A 6,203-nucleotide genomic window follows, 5' to 3' on the forward strand; every position below is an offset into this window, starting at 1 on the left:
TTTATGTTCTCTCTCTTGTTTTCTTAGTTAGCCTAGCTAGAGGCTTGTCAATTTTATTAATCTTTGTGCAGCAGCAGCTTTTTGTTTCATTACTTATTCTTATTAATTTCCTGTTTTCAATTTATTGATTTCTGCTATTTCATCATTTATTTTATATTGCCAATTTTTGATGTAATTTGTTCTTTCTTTTCTAATTTGCTAAGGTGGAAACTTAGATGATCGATTGGTAATACAACAATCATCTTGGCAGGGTTGTTTTTTTCTGTTAACACTCAAGTATTTCACTTCATTTTTTTCTTGCTTATATGGCTTCTGAGGAAAAGTCAGATATAGCTATGATATTTTTCTTCTCTATAAGTAATATGTGTTTTTTTCTGGACTCTTTCAGGTTTTGTTATTTATGTTTGACTTTTTTTACTTTGAAAATGATACACCTAAGTGTAGGGTTATTTTGACATTTATCTTGTGTTATGTTCCCTCAATTTCCTGAATCTTCAGTTTGGTGTTTGACATTAATTTGGAGGAATCCTCAGTCATCACTGTTTCAAATATTTATTCTGTTCATTTTTTTCTTTCTTTCCCTTCTGGTATTCTCATTACATGTATGTTGCATCGTTTGTAGTTGTTTCACAACTCTTGAATATTTTGTTCTTTTTTTTCATTCTTTGTTCTCTTTGCTTTTCAGTTTTGGGGGTTTCCATTGATACATGCTCAAAGTCATAAATTTTTTTCCCTCAGCAGTGTCCAGTCTACCAAAAAGCCCATCAAAGGTATTCTTCATTTCTTTTACAGTGTTTTGATCCTTAGCATCTGTTGTTTCATTCTTTGGATTTCTATCATTCTGTTTGAATTGCCCATCTGTTCTTGTATATTGCCTACTTTAGACATCAGAGTCCTTAGCACATTAATCACAGTTGTTTTAAATTCCTTGTCTGATAATTCCAATATCCCTGCCATGTCTGGTTCTGGTGCTTGATCTGTCTCTTCAAAATGTGTGTGTGTGTGTGTGTGTGTGTGTGTGTGTGTGTGTGTGTATACATGGAGAGAGAGCACGCATGCCTTTTAGTATGCTTGCACTTTTTTGTTGATAGTCAGATAAGATGTACTGTATAAGAGGAACTTCAATGAATAGGTCTTTAGTAATGTGGTGGTAAGGTGTGGGGCTGGGAATAATTCTATAGTCTTATGATTAGGTATCTGTTTTTCAGTAAATCTCTGCTTCTGAGCTGTGACTTTCACAAGTGCTTCTCCATTTTTTCTTCTTCTTTTTCTGTTATTCCGCATGCAAGGCTGAAGTAGGCTAGACCTGGGTTATTTCCCTTTTCTCCAGTAAGTTATGCTCTGACATAACTCCAGCTGGTTTGGCTCTGGTTAACTGTATTAGTCAGAGTTCTCTAGAGGGACAGAACTAATAGGATAGATGTATATATGAAAGAGGGTTTATTAAGGAGTATTGTCTCGCACAATCACAAGGTGAAGTCCCCAACTGGCCATCTGCAACCTGAGGAGCAAGGAAGCCAGTCTGAGTCTTAAAACCTCAAAAGTAGGGAAGCTGACAGTGCAGCCTTCAATCTGTGGCCAAAGGCTGGAGAGCCCTGGCAAATCATTGGTGTAGGTCCAAGAGTCTAAAATCTGGAGAACTTGTAGTCTGATGTTCCAAGGCAGGAAGTATCTAGCACGGGAGAAAGATGAAGGCCGGAAGACTTAGCATGTCTACTCCTTCCAACTTCTTCTGCCTGCTTTATTCTAGCCATGCTGGCAGCTGATTAGATGGTGCCCACCCAGGTAGAGGGTGGGTCTGCCTCTCCCAGTCCGCTGACTCAAATGTTAACCTCCTTTGGCAACAGCCTCAAAGACACACCCAGGAACAACATTTTGCACCCTTCAATTCAATCAAGTTGACAATATTAACCATCACAAGTCCACCCCTTGTCAACTTGAATCCATACACATCTCCAGAAATCATATATAATCTTCAAATAAAGACAATAGTAAGGTCATAATTATGCCTAACATAATATGGCTATCCTTCATACAACCAGAAACACACTAATCCTTAACCTAAATGCTATTACATAAAGTTAACAAACACTTAAATGCTGATATGAAGTCAGTAAACATTATGCCACATGATAAAGAAAAAAATGAAAATGAAGATATTTTCTTACTACAAGTGTATACATGCACAAACATGTTCTTAACAAAATAAGGAGGAAATACTCATCACAATTACAGTCCTTGTTTCTGCAGCTGGTCATGTGGTTATAGCTGGTATTGATGACTACCTTCTTCTACTACTCATTCTGTATTCCCTTTGCTTTTAGCAAGCACCTCAGTGGGTCATGGATTTTTTATCTGGTGGGGTAAACCAAACCTTCATTCCTGAAGAGTCTGGGCCATTAGTAGTCCTGCCTGGATTGGGTTGTTGTAGTGTCTCACTGACCTTAATCACAGTGCATGGTAATACTAAGAGATGCCCTAAGGAATCTCCTGTATTTCACACATTCTTCCTTACCTCCATTGTGGGTAGTAGACTGATTTCATCTTGCTAGTTCAGATCAATCACTACAGCCAACACTGTACCTCCCTTCTTAGCCTGTTGACTTAGAGGTAAGAGGAGCCCAAAGTGGCCAGGTGGCAATCTTAATTTCCAGTTTAATGGAATTGTTGTTGTGTCTCCTGGTGGCAGTATTCCTCCCACTGAAACTAAGACCTCTTGGCCAGCAGAACATAATGTCTTGGGAACAGGAAACAAAATTTTGCTAGTGGGTCCCTAGGGGTGATGGTGAGTGGTGCCATTTCCACTTCTAACCCTTGATTCCCGGAACCATGAATCCTGGCCATAGGAGAAACAGTACCATATATTGGCACCATTCAGGGTAGACACAGCCTTCTAGAGTACTTATTTCTCAAGTTAAGAGGGCAAAACTTGTTACGAACAGAGTGCCCCAGCATATTTCAAAACGGTTCATTTTCCTTTTCTCCTGCTGGAAGTATGAGGGGATTTTTCTGGTTTTACTGTGAGAACACTGTGGAGCTCCTGAAGGTAAAACTCACAAAAGCTTGGTGGAAACCTGGAGATTTTAATTCTTAGATTTGTCCACACTTGGACTCCAGCAATTCTCAATTACATTTCAGGTTCTCCTACTCCAACACAGGTTCTTGTGGAGGTTTCTACTCTAGCATGTTGTAATTATTTTTCTCTACCTGTCTATCTCTTCAATGCTGGTAGCAGTAGTTTGCCTTGTGACCTCACTTCCCTTATGAATCTCAGAAGAGTTGCTGATTTTTTATTGTGTTTACCTTTTTTCCTGTGATTAAGAAAAGAGCAACATCCGAGGTCATGTGGAACCTGACCAACTGACTTTTAATATGGATTAAAATTTTTATATTTCTGACCAGTTCTTTTTTCCTAAGATTTTTAATAAAACATAAGTAAATGACTTTTCTACATCTTCATCCTCATCAACTATTAAAAAAAAATGCCTTAACAGATTCAGGAAAATAAGCATTTTATACACTTTCCATATTCTTATACAGAAAACAAATTTCAGGCACCTTAAGCTACTCTTATAGGTTAAACCCATCTTCAATAACCTTATTTTGTAAACTGCAGATTAAATGTTTTATACTTTAAAGTCACAATGTTTTAAACTTTTTTATTTGGTCAGTTTGTAACCTAGTCAACACATATTTGTGAAATGCCTACTAAGAAAATAGGCACTGTGTTAGACTGAGAATGGAAGAAGATAAAAGGTGTTTTGTTATTATAAACACTACAGTATTTTATAGCAGACAGGTGTGGAGAAATATTATACCATAATAACTTGTTATATTCGTATAAGTTGCAAAGGGCTCAAGGCTCCATCTGTCCATTTCAATTGTATATATGAACAGAATTCAGATGAGAAAGATTTATGGTTGTCCAGTATGAACTTTAGCTAATCTTCAGAAATTATAATATCTAATTAATGATTATGCAACTTTTACTACAAAAAGTAGAAATGGAGGGATATCAGCTGATGTGTTTACAAAATATCTTTCTTTTCTTTCTACTTTTTACTAAAGTAGTCACAATAGCAAAAGATGAAACTTTACTGTAACTAATAGAAGAAAATTATTCCATTTCTGTTATTCGTATGACACATTTTATATTTGCAGCAAAATAAATGTAATATATGCTAGAGTGCAAAGTTCTGTAATGAAATTGAAGGTGGAGAGGAGAAAGCAAAGGCAATCTCTACCAGGAAGAGAGACAGAAAAGTATCAGCACCTGCCAGAGCAGAAATGCCCTTAGGAAAAATGTGGCAACTGAAATAAATTGTAAACTAACCATAGCATAGGGATTAATAGGGCTCTTGGAATTAAATTTCTACCCAATTTACTTTGTCTAATGCTGTCTTTATAGTAAATTTTAAGACTCAGACCTCAAATAAATAATATAAATTTTTTAAGCAAGGTATTTTGCAAGAATTGGCTGATTTTGTTTTTATGCCACATAATATGTCTCTACTATTAAATTTTAAGTAATACACTCCTATTCTTCTATATTCTTATTCTATTATTATCTTATTGCCAAAATGGTTATTAAATTTCATTCCTTTTCTCCTTCAAAGACACCTTGCTGTTTTACTCTTTTATTATTTTTCTTTTTTTTTTTTCTTTTTTTGAGATGGAATCTCACTGTGTTGCCAGGCGGAAGTACAGTGGCGTGATCTGGGCTCACTGCGACCTCCGCCTCCCTGGTTCAAGTGATTCTCTTGCCTCAGCCTACCGAGTTGCTGGGACTACAGGAGCGCACCACCACTCACCGCTAATTTTTGTGTTTTTAGTAGAGATGGAGTTTCACCATGTTGGCCAGGATGGTCTTGGTCTCTTGACCTCATGATCTGCCCATCTCGGCCTCCCAAAGTGCTGGTGAGTGGTGACAGCGTGCTGGCAGCCCTGGCAGCACTCGCTCACTCTCAGCCTCAGCACCCACTCTGGTCACGCTTGAGGAGCCCTTCAGCCTGCCACTGCACTGTGGGAGGCCCTCTCTGGGCTGGCCAAGGCCAGAGCCGCTCCCTCAGCTTGCAGGGAGGTGTGGAAGGAGAGGCGAGGTGTGGAGGGAGAGGCGCAGGCGGGAACCAGGGCTGCCCAGCACTTGTGGGCCAGAACAAGTTCCGGGTGGGCATGGGCTCAGTGGGCCCTGCACTCGGAGCAGCCAGCCTGCGCCGCCGGCCCTGGGAAGTGAGGAGCTTAGCACCCTGGCCACCAGCTGCAGAGGGTGCACTGGGTCCCCCAGCAGTGCCGGCCTGCCGGTTCTGTGCTCTAATTCTCGCCAGGCCTCAGCTGCCTCCCCGCAGGGCAGGGCTCGGGACCTGCAGCCCATCATACCCGAGCCTCCCGCGACGCTGTCGGCTCCTGCGCAGCCCGAGCCTGCCAGATGAGTGCCGCCCCCTGCTCCACAGCACCTGGTCCCATCGACCGCCCAAGAGCTGAGGAGTGCGGGTGCACAGCGACTGGTGGGAAGCTATGCCTGCGGCCCCAGTGCAGGATCCACTAGGTGAAGCCAGCTGGGCTTCTGAGTCTAGTGGGGACTTGGAGGACCTTTATGTCTAGCTAAGGGATTGTAGATACACCAATCAGCACTCTGTGTCTAGCTCAAGTTTTGTAAATGCACCAATCCACACCCTGTGTCTAGCTCAAGGTTTGTAAATGCACCAGTCAGTGCTGTGTGTCTAGCTAATCTAGTGGGGACTTGGAGAATTTTTGTGTCTAGCTCAGGGATTGTAAACGCACCAATCAGCACCCTGTCAAACCAGACCAATCAGCTCTCTGTAAAACAGACCAATCAGCTCTCTGTAAAATGGACCAATCAGCAGGAACTGGGTGGGGCCAGATAAGGGAATAAAAGCAGGCTGCCTGAGCCAGCAGTGGCAACCCGCTGGGGTCCCCTTCCACGCTGTGGAAACTTTGTTCTTTCACTGTTTGCAATAAATCTTGCTGCTGCTCACTCTTTGGGTGCGCACTGCCTTTATGAGCTGTAACAATCACCGCGAAGGTCTGCAGCTTCACTCCTGAGGCCAGCGAGACCATGAACCCACCAGGAGGAATGAGCAACTCAAGACGGGAGGAACGAACAGAACAACTCCAGACACAACGCCTTAAGAGCTGTAGCACTAACCGCCAAGATCTGCAGCTTCACTCCTGAAGCCAGCGAG

Source organism: Homo sapiens, chromosome 8 (genome assembly GCF_000001405.40).
Source record: "Homo sapiens chromosome 8, GRCh38.p14 Primary Assembly".
Classification (NCBI taxonomy): domain Eukaryota; kingdom Metazoa; phylum Chordata; class Mammalia; order Primates; family Hominidae; genus Homo; species Homo sapiens.